General features: G+C 42.7%; 3 annotated features.

The window, feature by feature from the left end:
* Positions 7,450 to 7,650: a silencer, noted in NCBI's record as "peak1017 fragment used in MPRA reporter construct". NCBI's record gives its function as "represses an SCP1 promoter by STARR-seq MPRAs in K562 erythroleukemia cells {active_cell/tissue: K562}" and the evidence as "EXISTENCE:reporter gene assay evidence [ECO:0000049][PMID:32103011]".
* Positions 15,710 to 16,296: an enhancer, noted in NCBI's record as "NANOG-H3K27ac hESC enhancer chr10:76555535-76556121 (GRCh37/hg19 assembly coordinates)". NCBI's record gives its function as "activates a minimal SCP1, AML or CMV promoter by ChIP-STARR-seq in naive H9 embryonic stem cells {active_cell/tissue: H9 hESC(naive)}" and the evidence as "EXISTENCE:reporter gene assay evidence [ECO:0000049][PMID:30033119]".
* Positions 16,127 to 16,246: an enhancer, noted in NCBI's record as "active region_3599". NCBI's record gives its function as "activates an Ori minimal core promoter by ATAC-STARR-seq in GM12878 lymphoblastoid cells {active_cell/tissue: GM12878}" and the evidence as "EXISTENCE:reporter gene assay evidence [ECO:0000049][PMID:35858748]".

Consider the following 17,337-nt stretch of genomic DNA (forward strand, 5'->3'; position numbering starts at 1 on the left):
TAGCTTGAACCCTGGAGGCAGAGGTTGCAGTGAGCCGAGATCATGCCACTGCACTCCAGACTGGCGACAGAGCAAGACTCCGTCTCAAAAAAAAAAAAAAAAAAAAAAGAATATTAACTTCCTTCTGGAATGCTTACTCCGTTTTGACTCATAATGGGCCTCTGTCACCCCAAAAATGTATGATCAAAGGGACAGATGGACAAGCCCATAGACATTTTACCAATCCTCTAAAAGCTCTTTGGGGACTTTGGTTTCCTCCTGAATGCCCCACCCTTGTTGGGAAGGGATTTGTTAACTCAGCTGCAAACAGTAGTATCATTTGGAAATCACAAGGCAGACAGAAATTGCTCCTTCTCCTTTCCTGTGAATCAGTATCAGGCTTTGTTGCTAAACATCCTGATATAATACTTAAAGTATGGCTGGGCACGGTGGCTCACGCCTGTAATCCCAGCACTTTGGGAGACCAAGGCGGGTGGATCACCTGAGATTAGGAGTTCAAAACCAGCCTTGCCAACATGGTGAAACCCCATCTCTACTAAAAATACAATAATTAGCTGGATGTGATAGCGGGCACCTGTGTAGCTACTTGGGAGGCTGAGGCAGGAGAATTACTTGAACCCAGGAGGCAGAGGTTGCAGTGAGCCGAGATCATGCCATTGCACTCCAGCCTGGGAGACAAGAGTGAAACTCAGTCTCAATAAATAAATAAATAAATAAAAATAAAAAATACTTAAAGTATGCCAAACTTTGAATCCAGCTACCCGTTTGCCTGAACCCACAGGCAACCTAGATTATTCTTGTATCCAAGTTATGGAGCAAGTTTACTCCAGCCGTCTAGATTTAAAGGATGAGCCTCTAGATAATCCTGAGGTAGAATGAATTACAGATGGAAGTAGCTTTGTGCACCAGGGAAGTAGGACAACAAACTGTTACTACCAGGTGCTAATCAGTGGGAAATAGTTAAGCATTTGCATGATTCTGCTCACTGGGGAAGAGATTCCCTGTTTCAATTAATATATTGGCTTTTTTTTTTTTTTATTGGAAAAGGCTTACTTAAAACAGTAAAGCAGGTAACTCAAGCCTGTGAACTATGTGCCTGGAATAACCCAAATAACCAATCTTTACCTCCTCCTCTAGTAAGGCCTGAGCAGCATAGGGGAACGTGCCCTGGTTAATAGATTATACTCAGATGCCCCCATGTAAAGGGTTTAAATATTTATTAGTATTCGTTGACACCTTTACTGGTTGGATTGAGACTTTTCCTACCCAGTCTGAAAAGGCAATTGAAGTTTCTAAACTCCTGCTGAAGGAAATAACTCCTAGATTTGGGTTGCCTAAGAGCTTACAGAGCAATAATGGCCCATCTTTCACAGCGACAATTACCAAAACACATCTTCAACCCTAGGAATTCAGTACCACCTTAACTTGGCATGGAGGCCACAGTCTTCAGGGAAAGTAGAAAGAGCTAATCAAACTCGAAAAAGGACCCTTGCTAAACTATGCCAAGAAACATCAGAAACCTGGCTGTCTTTATTACCTGTAGCCTTATTACGGGTTCAAGTGGCCCCTGAGAGAAATTTGCAGCTCAGCCCTTTTGAAATAATGTGTGGAAGGCCTTTCTTAACTACAGACCTCCTAATAGACATAGATACTTTCAAGCTACAGAATTATGTAATCAGGCTGGACACAGTGGTTCACGCCTGTAATCCCAGCACTTTGGGAGGCTGAGGTGGGTGGATCACCTGAGCTCAGGAGTTCAAGACCAGCCTGGCCAACATGGTGAAACCCTGTCTCTACTAAAAATACAAAAATTAACCAGGCGTGATGGTGGGAACCTGTAATCCCAGCTACGTGGGAGGCTGAGGCAGGAGAATCACTTGAACCTAGGAGATGGAGGTTGCAGTGAGCCGAGATCGCATCATTGCACTCCAGCCTGGGCAGTAAGAGTGAAACTCCATCTGAAAAGAAAAAAAAAAAAAGAATTATGTGATTAACTTGGACAAATGCAAAATGCACTCCTTGAATATGGAAATCTAAGACTCCCTTCCCCTACTAAGGAAGAGAATCTTGTTACAACCCAGCAGGAGACTGGGTCCTGTTAAAAACTTGGAAGTAAGGGTCCCCAGCAGATCAACTTTCCCCCAAATAGAAGGGACCCTATCAAGTTCTCCTTAGTACCCCAACTGCAGTTAAACTTCTGGGAATAAACAGCTGGGTCCACTTATCTCAAATTAAACAGGCCGAAGGAACACAAGAGACTGATCCCGTTTATTCCTGTGAGCCAATCAGTGACCTCTGACTCCTGTTCAGAAGAAATGAAAGGGATAGATATCACCTTTTGTCGGAACTCAGTTATAAACAACCTTCACCATACCAACGTTCTCTGACTGAGCTTCGCTCTACCCTGAATGCAAGAGATCCTAATAGTTAGGAGTATCATCACCCCATTCAACCTGAAGAAGTTACAGAAAACAGATCTTCATTCCTGTGCAACCCTTAGGATTCAAGGTTTTCTTGCAAAGGGAGGGGGAGATATGTCTGAGCCATTTGAACCAGAGCAACTCCATTTTGAGTGAGGGCTAGGAAAATAAGGCTGAGACTTGCTGGGCTGCATTCCCAGAAAATTAGGGCTTCCTAGCCTCTCCATGCTTATGGTTAAGGGAACAAATTAATAATGTTTACTAAACAGACCCAGACTTGGATGTGTCCAGATATCCCAATATCTGGAAAACAAAGGCATTCCTAATTTTGCATAATATTGATTATTGCAAAATATAGTAATTAAGAAAAGTAATCCTTTATCACAAACCCTTGTAGCAGAGCACATCTCCCCACATATACAAGCATTGTACCTGGGGTGGATGCGTTCCTCCTCTTACTTTCAGGAACGTCCTGCTCTGTCTATGGTGTAGCTGTCCTTTCACCACTTCACTTTCTTAATAAACTTGCTTTTGCTTTGCACTGCGGACTCGCCCTCAATTCTTTCTTGCGCGAGATCTAAGAACCTCCTCTTGGGATCTGGATCGGGACCCCTTTCCTGTAACAATAATTTGGAACTTTCCTTCGTATTTGATCAAGTTGGATAGAGTTGGTCAAACCCAATGGGAAAAAGACCCAAACAGCTGGGCGAGGTGGCTCATGTCTGTAATTGCAGCACTTTGGGAGGCCAAAGCAGGTGGATCGCCTGAGGTCAGGAGTTCAAGACCAGTCTGGCCAACACGGTGAAACCCTGTTTCTACTAAAAATACAAAAATTAGCCAGGTGTGGTGGTGGGCACCTATAATCCCAGCTACTTGGGAGGCTGAGGCAGGAGAACTGCTTCAACTCAGGAGGCAGAGGTTGCAGTGAGCTGAGATCGCACCATTGCACTCTAGCCTGGGAGACAGAACAAGACTCCGTCTCAAAAAAAAAAAAGACCGAAACAACAACAAAAAAACAGTTAAGCAAAAGAAACTAATTGCACAACTTATATGATTACTGAGCCCTCTAATGTAAGGAGAAATTAAGATCAGCTGATTGTTAAACTTTACCAAGCCAAAACCCCAATTCAGATATTTACTTAGGGATGGGTCTCAGGCTGAAGACTGCACTCTGCCATCCTAGAAGCAGGAAAAAAAAAAAAAAACCCGAATTCGTCTTCCTTGCTGGGAGCGAGCTCAAACTCCTTAAAGAAGTTACCTGCCTTCCATCGTCATGGAAACAGGAAATCTTGCCTTTCTTGTTGGAAGCAAGTAAAACCAAAAAAAAAAGAGGAGTTGTATAGCAAAATAAACTTTAGATCTTGACCAAATTTTGGGAGATAAGGGAATTTTCTGGAGGGGATGCTCCCACACCTCAGCAAATCGTCCTATTGGTTTGAGCCATAAAATTAGCTCATGCTGGTATCAAGCACCGATAGGAGATTTGTCAAAAGTCAGGGACATCTCCACTCAGAATACCTTTGTGATTACCAAAATGTGAACGCTGAAAATCTGAGACAGGTCTCAGTTAATTTAGAAAGGTTATTTTCCCAGTGTTGAAGATGTGCGCCCATGATACAGCCTCAGGAGGTTCTGATGACATGTGCCCAAGGTGGTTAGAACACAGTTTGGTTTCATACATTTTAGGGAGATATGAGACATCAATCAAATATATGTAAGATGAATATTGGTTTGGTCTGGAAAGGCGGGACAACTAGAAGCAAAGGTGGGAAGATGTGAAGTAGGGAGGGGAGGGGCTTCTAAGCCATAGGTAGATAAGAGACAAATGGCTGCATTCTTTTGAGTTTCTGATTAGCCTCTGCAAAGGAAGCAATCAGATATGCATTTCTCTCAGTGAGCAGAGGGGTGACTTTGAATAGAATGGGAGGCAGATAGGCCTTAAGCAGTTCCCAGCTTGACTTTTCCCTTTAGTTTAGTAATTTGGGGGCCCCAAGATTTATTTTCCTTTCACAGTCTTCATCCCCATTTCCTGGCATACAACTCCTACAATCCTTGAAATCCCCAAAGTGTTGTCCTTTTTTTTTTTTTTTTAAGATGGGGTCTTACTCTATTGCCCAGGCTGGAGTGCAGGGGTGTGATTATAGCTCACTGCAGCCTCCAATTCCTGGGCTCAAGGGATCGTCTTGCCTTAGCCTCCCTGATAGCTGGGACTGCAAGTGGGAGCCACCATGCTCAGCTATGAAGTGCTGTCTTTCTCTATGCTAATGTTGACTGATTAGTTTCAGGATGGAAGACCAAGGCATAATTAGAGGGCTGGGACTTTCAGCTCTACCCTCAACCTCCAGGAAGAGGAGAGGGGCTGAAAATCAAGTTAATCATCAATGGCCAATGGTTTAATCAGTCATGCCTATGTAATGAAGCCTCTATAAAAACCCAAGAGGACAGGTTTCTGAGAGCTTCTGGATAGCTGAACACATGGAGGTTCCTGGAGAGGGCATGGAGGCTCCAAGCTCCTTCCCTCACACCTCAATGTACACATCTCTTCATCTGTATTCTTTGTAATATAGTATATAATAAACCAGTAAATGTGTTTCCCTGAGTTCTGCCAGCCATTCTAGCAAATTAATTGAACCCAAAGATGGGGTCATGGGAGCCCCAACTCAAAGCCAGTCAGTCAGAAATTGCAGAGGCCTGGACTTGCCACTAGTGTCTGAAGGGGGGGCAGTTTTGAAGACTGAGCCCCCAACCTGTGACATTATGTACACTATCTCCAGGTACGTAATGTCAGAATCGAATTGGAGGACACTCCACTGGTGTTCCCTGCAGAACTGATTGCTCACTTCGTGGTGGGGAGACCCCCCCCATACACATTTGGTCACAAAAGTCTTCTTCCATGTTGATGTTTGTTGTTCTCGTGGTCGTGTGAGAGCAGAGGTAAAGCATAGCTCGAGTTTTTCCAAACAATCACCTTCCATAGTTACTTTCTGTGTGTATATGTGCGTGTGACAACAGCACCTAAAATCTCCTGTCTTTGCAAATATTTAGTATACAACATTATTAACTATAGTCCTCACGCTATACATTACATCTCTTACACTTATTCATCCTACCTAACTGCATATTTTTTAAAAATAATAGCACAGGCCGGGTGCAGTGGCTCACTCCTGTAATCCCAGGACTTTTGGAGACTGAGGCAGGCAGATAACCTGAGGTCAAGAGTTTGTGACCAGCCGGGCCAACACGGTGAAACCCCGTCTCTACTAAAAATACAAAAAAATTAGCCGTGCGTAGTGACGCGGGCCTGTAATCCCAACTACTCGGGAAGCTGAGGCGGGAGAATCGCTTGAACCCGGGAGGCAGAGGTTGTGGTGAGCCGAGATAGCGCCACTGCACTTCAGCCTGGGTGACAGAGTGAGACTCCATCTCAAAATAATAATAATAATAGCACTGTTGGACTTCAGCTAATGGTAAAATAGTGAAGCTGATGCTTTGCCGTGAAGTTGAGGAAACAATAAACAGTGATAGGTGTTCTAAGCCTGCTGGGGCACTTCCTTCTGTCCCAGGATGCGAAGAAGTTCATTCTGTTAGTGGAAAATCCTTGGACAAATTGAATTTAACGAGTTTGATTAACCAAAAAACGATTCACAAATTGGACAGCCCCTGAAAGAAGAATAGGTTCAGAGAGACTCTGGTGCTGCCACATGGTCGAAGATTTAGGAACAGAAAAAGCAAAGTGATGTATAGAAAATGGAAGGAAGAAAGGTGCAGAAATAGCTGGATTGGTTCCAGCTGAGTGTTTGCCTTATTTAAACACAGTTTGACCAGCTGGCCACCTTTGATTGGCTGGAACTGAATGCTTGATAGAAGAGTAAGTTACAGCCTGTTTACACATCCAGTTGAGTTACAGATCGCTATGTAAGAAGAAACCTTTAGGCTGATCTTAAAATATCTAAGGAGGCAGCTTTAAGCTAAACTTAATTTAACCATTAATTCATTTGATTTTTAGCAACTGTTTAATTGCGTCCCTGTCTTATGCAAGACACTGTTCAAGGCCCTAGGGATACAGACAATTCAAGAAACAAGGCAATATACCATGGTAAACGAAGAAAGGATGGAGACATGAAGCAACAGAAGAAATAGATGGCTAAAAACAATAGATGGGTTGGGTGCAGTGGCTCATGCATTTAATCCCAACACTTTGGGAGGCCAAGGCGGGCAGATCACCTGAGGTCAGGAGTTCAAGACCAGCCTGGCCAACACAATGAAACCCATCTCTACTAAAAATACAAAAATTAGCCAGGCATAGTGGCACATGCATGTAGTCCCAACTACTTGGGAGGTTGATGTGGAAGGATGGCTTGAGCCCGGAAGGTGGAGGTTGCAGTGAGCCAAGATTGTGCCACTGCACTCCAGCCTGGGGGACAGAGCGAGACTCTGTCTCAAAAACCAAACAAACAAAACACACCCCCCTCCCCCACCACCCACCCCAACAGGATAGCAAATTATACCCATATTTTTAAAACAAAAACTAATAACATAGTCTGCAGAAATAATGTTGTATAATATCTTTATTAATAATAGTTTTCAATGATGGAGCATTTACCATGTGTTAATCTTTGCTTATGTTATTTCTTGTTATTTCTGTTTTTTTGTTTTTTTGTTTTTTTTTTTTTTGAGGCAGCCGTGCTCTGCCGCCCAGGCTGGAGTGCAGTGGCATGATCTCGGCTCATTGCAACCTCCATCTCCCGGGTTCCAGCAATTCTCCTGCCTCAGCCTCCTGAGTACATCGGACTACAAGCGGGTGTCACCATACCCATCTAATTATTTTTGTATTTTTAGTAGAGACGGGGTTTCACCATGTTGGCCAGGCTGGTCTCAAACTCCTGACCTCAAATGATCCACCAGCCTCGGCCTCCCAAACTGCTGGGATTACAGGTGTGAGCCACCATGCCCGGCCTGTGTATATTATTTCATTTAATCCTCACTACAATACTAAAGCTAATTGTTATTAAATCCATTTTACAAGTGAGCAAACATAAAGACATGCTCAACTGCACATAACAGTTCTGGGATTCAAACTGAGATCTCCTGGTGCCAAGGCCTGAGCATGTTCACTAAGTCACGTTGTGTCACTGAAGCAGATGCGGGAAGAGCAGGGGAGAAAAAGGGAAGTGGAGCGAAAGTGTAAAGAGAAGGGAGAGAGAGGAGGAAAAAGTGAGGGGACACATGAGATTAATAGGGAAGCAGGTGAGGAAGGAGAACAAGGAAGGAAAAAGAAGCCTGTGTCTCTGAGATGGCGTCACAAAGTGGGATAACTGGTTCTGTTTGAGAAGCAGACGGTCTGGGTTTGGTTATTAGGATAACTCTATTCCTTAGAAACCCTTAAATTGAAAACATGGGGTTGGGCATGGTGGCTCACATCTGTAATCCCAGCACTTTGGGAAGCCATGGTGGAAGGATCACTTGAGGCCAGGAGTTCCAGACCAGCCTGGGCAACATAGTGCAACCCCATTTCTGTTAAAAAATGTAAATATTGGCCGGGCACGGTGGCTCTTGCCTGTAATCCTAGCACTTTGCACTTTGGGAGGCGGAGGCAGGCAGATCACGAGGTCAGGAGATCGAGACCATCCTGGCTAACACGGTGAAACCCCATCTCTACTAAAAATACAAAATATTAGCCAGGCTTGGTGGCGGGCGCCTGTAGTCCCAGCTACTCGGGAGGCTGAGGCAGGAGAATGGCGTGAACCCGGGAGGCGGAGCTTGCAGTGAGCCGAGATCGTGCCACTGCATCCAGCCTGCGCGACACAGTGAACCTCTGTCTCAAAAAAAAAAAAAAAAAAAAAAGTAAATATTTAGCCGGGCATGATGCTGTGCACCTGTAGTTCCAGCTACTCTGGAGGCTGAGGCAGGAGAATAACTTGAACCCAGGAGGCTGAGGCTGCAGTGAGCTATGATTGCACCGCTGCACTCCAGCCTGAGTGACAGAGCAAGACCCTGTCTAAAAAAATAAAACATAGAGTGTTCACAATAGAAAAATATAGCAAGAAAGAGAGTAGATTTGTGATTGTCCACAGCTGGGGATTTAGAAGTAAATGTGTAGTGACTGCTAATGGGTACAGGGTTTATTTTTCAGTGATGAAAATATTTTATAATCAAATGTAAGTGTTCCACAACTTTGTGAATATACTAAAAACCACTAAATTGCATAATTGGAGTGGATTAATTGTACATATGTGAATTATATATCAATAAAGTTGTTATTTTAAAAACCAAGAGGATATTGATTGTTCCCAACACAAAGAAATGATAAATGTTTCAGATGATGGATATGCTAATTACCTAATTTGCTCACTATACATTATATGTGTTGTAACATCACTGTGTACCCCATACATATTACAATCATTATGTGTCAATATAAAGTACTTATTTATTTATTTATTTATTATTTTTTGAGACAGAGTCTCACCATGTTGCCCAGGCTGGAGTGCCATAGCTGGCTAATTTTTTTTGTATTTTTAGTAGAGACAAGGTTTTGCCATGTTGGCCAGGCTGGTCTTGAACCCCTGGCCTCAAGTGATCCACCTGCCCTGGCCTCCCAAAGTGCTGGGACTGCATGCCTGCAATTTATGTATGCCCAGACTAGTCTGGGCAACATAGTGAGACCCTATCTCTACAAAAAATTTAAAAATTAGCTGGGCATGGTGGCATGTGCACCCAGTCAAAAAAAAATTTTTTTAATCACTGAATTTGAAGATAGGTCAATTGAGATTATCCAGTCTCTCTTTCCAGAACAAAAAGAAAAAAGGTGAAAATAAGGAACAGAATCTCAGAGACCTGTGGGAAACCTTTAAACATACCAATGATGCATAACAACAAGGGGAGGAGAGAGAGAAAAATAGATAAATAAATTTGAATCCATAATGGCCAAAAATTTCCAAAATTTGCTAAGAGAAACCAATCTACATATCCAGGAAGCTCAAAAACTAACAGTAAGGTAAATTCAAAAGGATACAAAATGTAGACATATAATAATCAAACTGCTGGAAGTCAAAGACAAAAAGAAAATCTGGGCCAGGCATGGTGGCTCATGCCTGTAATCCCAGCACTTTGGGAGGCCAAGGCGGGCGGATCACCTGAGGTCGGGAGTTCGAGACCAGCCTGATCAACATGGAGAAACCCCGTCTCTACTAAAAATACAAAATTACCCGGGCTTGGTGACACATACCTGTAATCCCGGCTACTCGGGAGGCTGAGGCAGGAGAGTCGCTTGAACTCGGGAGGCGGAGGTTGTGGTGAGCTGAGATCATGTCATTGCACTCCAGCCAGGGCAACAAGAGTGAAACTCCGTCTCAAAAAAAAAAAAAAAAAAAAAAAAAAGAAAGAAAGAAAGAAAGAAAAAAGAAAAGAAAATCTGGAAAGCAGCAAGACAGAAGCAACTCATCACATACAAGAGATCTTCAATAAAATTAACAGCTAATTTATCAGAAATCATAGAGGCAGCCAGGTACAGTGCCTCATGCCTGTAATCCCAGCACTTTGGCAGGGCAAGGCAGGAGGATTGCCTGAGTCCAGGAGTTCAAGACCAGCCTGGGCAACATAGTGAGACCTTGTCTCTACAAAAAATAATTTTTAAAAATTAGCATGCACCTTTAGTCCCAGCTACTCAGGAGGCTGAGGTGGGGGGATTGCTTGAGCCCGGGAGGTCAAGGCTCCAGTGAACTGAGATTACACCACTGCACTCCAGCTTGGATGACAGAGCGAGACTCTGTCTCAAAAACAAAACAAAACGAAACAAAACAAGAAAACAGGCCAAACATGGTGGCTCACACCTGTAATCCCAGCACTTTGGGAGGCTGAGATGGGCAGATCACCTGAGGTCAGGAGTTTGAGACCAGCCTGGCCAACATGGTGAAACCCTGTCTCTACTAAAAATACAAAGATTAGCCGGGCATGGTGATGCACGCCTGTAATCCCAGCTACTTGGGAGGCTGAGGTAGGAGAATTGCTTGAACCTGGGAGGCAGAGGTTGCAGTGAGCCAAGATTGTGCCACTGCACTCCAGCCTGGGTGACAGAGTGAGACTCTGTCTCAAAAAAAAAAAAAAAGGAAAAGAAAAGAAATTATAGAGGCTCAAAAGGCAGTGGGGCAAAAACTGGCAACCAAAGTTTCTACATCCAGCAAAGCAATTCTTTAAAAATTAAGGGCCGGAGCCAGGCATGATGGCTCAGGCCTATAAACCCAGCACTTTGGGAGATTTAGGTGGGCAGATTGCTGGAGCTCAGGAGTTGGAGACCAGCCTGGGCAACATGGGTGAAGCCCCGTCTTACTTTATTAAAAAAAAAAAAAATTAAGGGTTAGATGTGGTTGCTGACACCTATAATCCCAGCACTTTGGAAGGCCAAGGCAGGAGGTTTGTTTAAGCCCAGGAGTTCAAGACTAGTCTAGTTAACATAGATGAGACCCTATCTCTACAAACAAGTTAAAAATTAGCTAGGCGTGGTGGCATGCATCTGTAGTCCCAGCATCTTCGTAGGCTGAGGTGGGAAGATATTTGAACCGAAGAGGTTGGGGCTGCAGTGAACCATGATAAGGAGAACTAAACAGAAATTTGCACACCAATAGTCATAGCAGCATTATTTACGATAGCCGAAAGGTGGAAACAACCAGAGTGTCTATCAACAGACAAATGGACCAACAAAATGTGATATATTAATATACTGGAATATTATTCAGCTGTAAAAATGAATGAAATTCTGAGACATGCTACAACATGGATGAACCTTGAGAACATTATGCTAAGGGAAGTAAGCCAGTCACAAAAAGACAAATACTGTCCACTTTATGGGGTACCTAAAGTAGTTAAATTCATAGAGATAGAAAGTAGAATGGGGTTGCCAGGGCTCAGAGGAGAGAGAACTAGGAAGCTAATCTTTAATGGGCATGGGGTTTTTAATTAGAGAAGATGAAAAATTTCTAGAGATGGAAGGCAGTGATGGTAGCACAACAATGTGAACGTACTCAGTGCCCCAGAACTGTACATTTAAAACTGGTTGAAATGAAGCATACAAATATGCACTTAGAAGACACAAGACCTGGCTGGGCCTGGTGGCTCATACCTGTAATCCCAGCACTTTGGGAGGCCGAAGCCAGCAGATCATGAAGTCAGGAGTTCAAGATCAGCCTGGCCAACATGGTGAAACCCTGTCTCTACTAAAAAAAAAATACACACACACGAAGACACAAGACCGCTCAGCGTGATGACCTATGCCTGTAATCCCAGCACTTTAGGAGGTGGAGGCAGGTGGATCACTTGAAGGAGCTCAAGACCAGCCTGACCAACATGGTGAAACCCCATCTCTACTAAAAATACAAAATTAGCCGGGCGTGGTGGCTCACGCCTGTAATCCCAGCACTTTGGGAGGCAGAGGCGGGTGGATCACCTGAGATCGGGAGTTCGAGACCAGCCTGACCAACATAGAGTAACCCGGTCTCTACTAAAAATACAAAATTAGGTGGGCATGGTGGTGCATGCCTGTAATCCCAGCTACTCAGGAGGCTGAGGCAGGAGAATCACTTGAACCCGGGAGGCGGAAGTTGTGGTATGCCAAGATCAAACCATTGCACTCCAGCCTGGGCAATAAGAACGAAACTCGGTCTCAAAAAAAAAAAAAAAAAAAGGCCAGTCACCGTGACTCACACCTGTAATCCCAGCACTTTGAGAGGCCAAGGCAGGGAAATCACTTGAGGCCAGTTCAGTACCAGCCTAGCCAACATGGTGAAACCCCATCTCTACTAAAAATACAAAAAATTAGCCAAGTATGGTGGCATGCACCTGTAGTCCCAGCTACTTAGGAGGCTAAGGCACAAGAATTGGTTGAACCTGGGAGGCAGAGGTTGCAGTGAACCAAGATCATGTCACTGTACTCCAGCCTGAATGACAGAGACTCTGCTCAAAAAAAAAAAGAAAGAAAGAAAGAAAGAAGAAATAGATAAAAACAACAAATGTTTAAAGGTTAAAATGGTAAATTTTCTGTTATGTGTATTTTACCACAACAAGAAAAGATAAAATGTTAAATAAAAAGAGCAACTAAAGAGAATTTAACTCTAGCACATCCATTTTTCAGGCTGAAATGAAAGAACAGGTGACACTAACTCAAATCCACATGAAGTGGAGAGCATTGGAAAAGGTAACTAAATAAAGGCAAATATAAAAGACAGTATAGATGTATGTTTTGTTTGTGACTCTTTTTCTCTCCTGTCTTACTTCAGACAACTGCATAAAGCACTAATATAAAACATGAAATATATATTGAGGGTCATATATTCTATAAACATGCATTTGCTTGGCAATAATAGTACAAAGAAGGTTGAGGGAATGGTCCTTTGTAGGAGCAAGTTTTGTACACTATTGAAATTAAATTGGCATGGTTCCAAATTGTATTGTTTTAAGATGTTAATGGCAACCACTAAGAAAATAACTAAAAATATATAGTAAAAGAATGACAATGCAATAACTATAGTATACTAGAAAATATTTACTTAACAGAAAAGAAGGCAGTAATGGAGTATTAAATAAGACTTAAAATGTATTAAAAATAGCAAAATGGCAGATATATATCCTATGTTATCTGTAATTAAATGTAAATGGACTAAACACTTCAATCAATAGGCAGAGATTTTCAGAATGGATTTTAAAAATAAAACTACATGCTATTTACAAGAGACAAAATTCAGATTCAAAGACACAGATAGAGTTAAAAGAACAGAGATGGTCCAAGTGTGGTGGTTCATGCCTGTAATCCCAGCACTTTGGGAGGCCAAGACAGGCAGATTGCTTGAGCCCAGGAGTTCAAGACCAGCCTGGGCAACATGATGAAACCCTGTCTCTACAAAAAATACAAAAATTGGCCAGGCAAAATGGTGTGTGCCTGTAGTCTTAGTAGTCTTAGTTACGCAAGAGGCTGAGGCAAAAGGATTGATTGAGCCCAGGAGGTGGAGGCTGCAGTGAGCTCTGATCACATCACTGCACTCCAGCCTAGGTAACAGAGGGAGATTCCATCTCTAAAAAAAATAATAATAATTGAAGACAATAGAATCAAACCTTTCAGCTTTGCCAAGTCTCATGATTTTTCATTTGTCTCAGATCAGTTTTTTAAAACAAAACATGCAAAATTTATTGCAATCTATCCCACTCACTCCCAACAGCCAGAGATAATTACTATCCTAAATTTGGTGTTGACCATTCCCTTATGTTTTTATACTTTTACTATATATATAATACATGTATTTTACTATATATAATATATATTTTACTATATATAATATATATTATACTATATATTATATTTGTAATTATACTTTATAATATATTATATATTATACTATAAAATATATTACATTTGTGGGCCGGGTGCGGTGGCTCACGCCTGTAATCCCAGCACTTTGGGAGGCCAAGGCAGGTGGATCACGAAGTCAGGAGTTTAAGACCAGCCTAGCCAACATGGTGAAACCCTGTCTCTACTAAAAATACAAAAATGAGCTGGGCGTGGTGGCAGGTGCCTGCAGTCCCAGCTACTTGAGAGGGTGAGGCAGAGAATTGCTTGGACCCGGGAGGCAGAGGTTGCAGTGAGCCGGGATCGCGCCACTGTACTCCAGCCTGGAGGACAGAGTGAGACTCCATCTCAAGAAAAAAAAATATATATAAAATATTTGTAATTATACTATATAAAATATTATATAGTATATATATTTTAAGTATAGTAAAAGTTTTTTATACTTTACACATAGTAAAAGTATAAAAACATAAGGGGGCCGGGCACAGTGGCTCATGCCTGTAATCCTAGCACTTTAAGAGGCCAAGGCGGGTGGATTACCTGAGGTTAAGAGTTCAAGACCAGCCTGGCCAAAATGGTGAAACCCTGTCTCTACTAAAACTACAAAAATTAGCTGCGCGTGGTGGCATGTGCCTGTAGTCCCAGCTACTCGGGAGGCTGAGGCAGGAGAATAGCTTGAACCCAGGAGGCAGAGGTTGCAGTGAGCTGAGATGGTACCACTGCACTCCAGCTTGGGCAGCAGAGTAAGACTCCATCTCAAAAATAAATAAATAAATAAAAATAAGGCAATGATTATATATATAGTATTGTTTTACATCTTAAAACTTTATGTAGATGATATCATACCATAAACATCCTTCTGCAACATGATTTTCTTGGGTAACATTATGATTTTGAGATTCAGCCATGTTTGTTCACTCTGAGCATCTGGAATGCATCAATAAACAAAGCTGACAAAGATCCCTGCCTTCACAAAAGGAGATCAGGCTAGAAAAAAAGGAAAACAGGACCGGGTAGGTGAGCTAGTGACCATCAAGAGAAGGAGCCTTTGCAACTATAAACAAAGTGTGTGTCAGGTAATGTCAGAAAAATAATTGGGTAGGTGAGGGTGGATTGGGGGATGTTGGCCACAGAGAGGGTTGTAGGCCATTGAGGCCATTGTGAGGATTTTGCTTTCACTGAAATGAAATGAAGAGTTTTGAGCAGAGTAGAGATATGACCTGACTTACATTTTTGAAATGCTGATACATATAGCTCTGGTTCATTAATTTTAACTTTTGCATAGTGGTCTATTGTAGGATCATACATTAAAGTATTGATTCATTCTCCTATTAGTGGTCAATTAAGTTATTTTCATATTCATTATATATAATGCTGCAGTGGACACTTTTGTATTTGTCCTTTAGGGCACTTGCGGGAGAATTTTCCTAAGAAGGAAATCTTTGGATCGGAGGGCATTTGCCTTTTTAATATTATTTGTAATAACTATTATTACTAATTATTAGTAATATTATCAGTAATAACTAATAATTGCCAAACTGCTCTAGAAAGAGGATGTCCCACTTTACACTGGCACCAGCATTTATAGAAGTTTCATTTGCCGCCCAGTCTCACCAGCCCTTTTTTTTTTTTTGAGACAAGGTCTCGCTCTGTCGCCCAGGCTGGAGTGCACTGGCGTGATCTCGGCTCACTGCAACCTCCTACCTCCCAGGTTCAAGCAATTCTCCTGTCTCAGCCTCCCAAGTAGCTGGAATTACAGGCTCACACCATCATGCCCGGCTAATTTTTGTATTTTTAGTAGAGACGGGGTTTCGCCACGTTGGCCAGGCTGGTATCGAACTCATGACCTCAAGTGATTCGAATCCCAGCACTTTGGGAGGCCAAGGTGGGCAGATCACTTGAGGTCAGGAGTTTGAGACCAGCCTAACCAACATGGTGAAACCCCATCTCTACTAAAAATACAAAAAAAAAATTAGCCGGGTGTTGTGGCAGGCACCTGTAATCCCAACTGCTCGGTAGGCTGAGGCAGGAGAATCGCTTGAGCCAGGAGGTGGAGGTTGCAGTGAGTGGAGATCGCGCCGCTGCACTTCAGCTTAGGCGATAAAGAGAGGCTCCTTCTCAATAAGAAACAAACAAAAATAAAAACAAAGTGCTGGGATTACAGGCTTGAGCCACCACCACATGTCTGCCCCTCACCCGCCCTTGAAATAGCTCTTTGTGGTTTTAATTTGCATTTCCCCATCCCTGGTGAAGTTCAGCACCTTTTTCATGTTTATTTGTGGTTTGGTCTTTTCTTCTCTGATTGCCTCTTGATGTTCTTTATCCTTATTCTATGGAGCTATTTCTCCACCACCCCCCTTTTTTTTGAGACAGAGTCCCCTTCTGTCTCGCAGGCTAGAGTGCAGTAGTGTGATCTCTGATCACTGCAACCTCCGCCTCCCAGGTTCAAGCAGTTCTAATGTCTCATCCTCCTTAGTTGGGATTACAAGCCTGCGCTACCACGCCTGACTAAGCCTGGATAATTTTTTGTATTTTTAGTAGAGACAGGGTTTTGCCATGTTGTCCAAGCTGGTCTTGAACTATTTCTCACTTAAAAAAAATTTTTTTTTTTTTGTTTTGAGATGGGCGCTCTGTTGCCCAGGCTGGAGTGCAGTGGCACGATCTCAGCTCACTGCAACCTCCCCTTCCCTGGTTCAAGAAACGATCCTCCCACCTCAACCTCTTGAGTAGCTGGGATTACAAGTGTGCACCATCACGCCTGACTAATTTTTGTATTTTTAGTAGAGACGGATTTCACCAAGTTGGCCAGGCTAGTCTTGAACTCCTGGCCTCAAGTGATCCTCAGCCTCCCAAAGTGCTGGGATTACAGGCATGAGCCACCTCACCCAGCCTAAAAGTTGATTTTTAGATATTCTGTATATATTCTAGATACTGATATTTTGTTAATTATACACAATCCATTGCTGATTATATGTAACACAAACATCTTCTCCCCTTCTCTGTCTTGTCTTTTTTCTTTTCTTTTTTTTTTTTTTTTTTTTTTTTTTTTTTTGAGATGGAGTCTCGCCCTGTCGCCCAGGCTTGAGTGCAATGGCACCATCTCGGCTTACTGCAACCTGTGCCTCCCGGGTTCAAGCAATTCTGTCTCAGCCTCCTGAGTAGCTGGGATTACAGACATGCATCACCACGCCTGGCTAATTTTTGTATTTTTAGCAGAGATAGGGTTTCACCATGTTGGCCAGGCTGGTCTTGAACTCCTGGCCTCAAGTGATCCACCCGTCTTGGCCTCCCAAAGCGCTGGGATTGCAAGCTTGAGCCACTGCGCCCGGCCGTCTTCATTTTTTAAAACTGACATCTTTTGTTGCACAGAACCCTTTCATTTTTTTATGCAGTTGAATATTTGAATCTTTTTCTTTCAAGGCTTGTGATTTTTGTGTTTTGTTTAAGAAATGTTCCTCTACACCAAGGTCATAACATTTTCTCATATTCATTCCTCCTTTAAATTTGTTAATACGATCAATCTGGATTATGTCGAGAGGGAAGGGGAAGTCTGATCTGTCCCTTTAGAGGTGACTTTGCATA

This window comes from Homo sapiens, chromosome 10 (genome assembly GCF_000001405.40).
Source record: "Homo sapiens chromosome 10, GRCh38.p14 Primary Assembly".
NCBI lineage: Eukaryota > Metazoa > Chordata > Mammalia > Primates > Hominidae > Homo > Homo sapiens.